Source organism: Homo sapiens, chromosome 6 (genome assembly GCF_000001405.40).
Source record: "Homo sapiens chromosome 6, GRCh38.p14 Primary Assembly".
In the NCBI taxonomy this organism is placed as follows: Eukaryota; Metazoa; Chordata; class Mammalia; order Primates; family Hominidae; genus Homo; species Homo sapiens.
Window position 1 is genome coordinate 170091297 of NC_000006.12, and position 1138 is coordinate 170092434.

At 57.2% G+C, this 1138-nt stretch overlaps 1 annotated feature.

Annotated features, from left to right (window-relative positions):
* Window positions 367-868: an enhancer, noted in NCBI's record as "H3K4me1 hESC enhancer chr6:170406887-170407388 (GRCh37/hg19 assembly coordinates)". NCBI's record gives its function as "activates a minimal SCP1, AML or CMV promoter by ChIP-STARR-seq in primed H9 embryonic stem cells {active_cell/tissue: H9 hESC(primed)}" and the evidence as "EXISTENCE:reporter gene assay evidence [ECO:0000049][PMID:30033119]".

Genomic DNA, 1138 nt, shown 5'->3' on the forward strand with positions numbered 1-1138 from the left:
ATGTTTCTGACAACACTGGGGTGTGCACCGTTCCAGCTCCCAGGTTCCAAGGTGGAAGTCACCAGAAGGAAGAACAGAAGCAAAGACAATGCCAGGCTAAAGCAGGAGCCCACCCTTCCTGTCTGGGGGCCGCACCCGGGGCTGCTGACCTGGTGGCTACTCAGCATGGTGCCTGAGCGTTCACAGACGTTGAGTGACCCTGAGCGTTCACGGGCACTGAGTGACCCCACTGCCCTCTTTGGAAGCGTCCTGGGGGCAGATTTGCCGTGGTCCTTGTGCAGCCGATGTCTGTCCCACCTGGAGCGACTGACCCACCTGTGGTGATGGGGTGGATGGAGACAGGCCCTCTGTTAGAGGCAATCGGAGCAAATTATCAAACTCTAAAGCCAGAGGACCCTTAGGGCTTCACTGAGTGGTGGCAGGAGCCACGTGACACAGCCGGAAACCCCATCCATGCCCTGGGGAGATTTTCCCTTGGTGAGGGACCCTGCAGTGCGGCCCAGCCTTTCAGCCTTTCTGGTAAATTGCACCAGGGAATATGTTAGGACTTATCTGTATCAGGTGCCTCATCATCGGTCAACGCTGCGTCACCCTGGGCAGTCACAACACCACACAAACTCACGACAGCACCACGCAGCTCACAACAGCACCACACAAGCTCACAACACCACACAGTTCACAACAGCGCCACACAGCTCCCGACAGCGCCACATAGCTCACAACTGCACCACACAGCTCACGACAACACCACACAGCTCCCGACAGCACCACACAGCTCACAACTGCACCACACAGCTCACGACAACACCACACAGCTCACGACAGCACCACACAGCTCACGACAACACCACACAGCTCACGACAGCACCACACAGCTCACGACAACACCACACAGCTCACGACTGCACCACACAGCTCACGACTGCACCACACAGCTCACGACTGCACCACACAGCTCACGACAACACCACACAGCTCACAACTGCACCACACAGCTCACGACAGCACCACACAGCTCACGACAGCACCACACAGCTCACAACTGCACCACACAAGCTCACAACAGCGCCACACAGCTCACAATAGCACCACATAGCTCGTGACAGCACCAAACATGCTCACAACACCGCACAGCTCA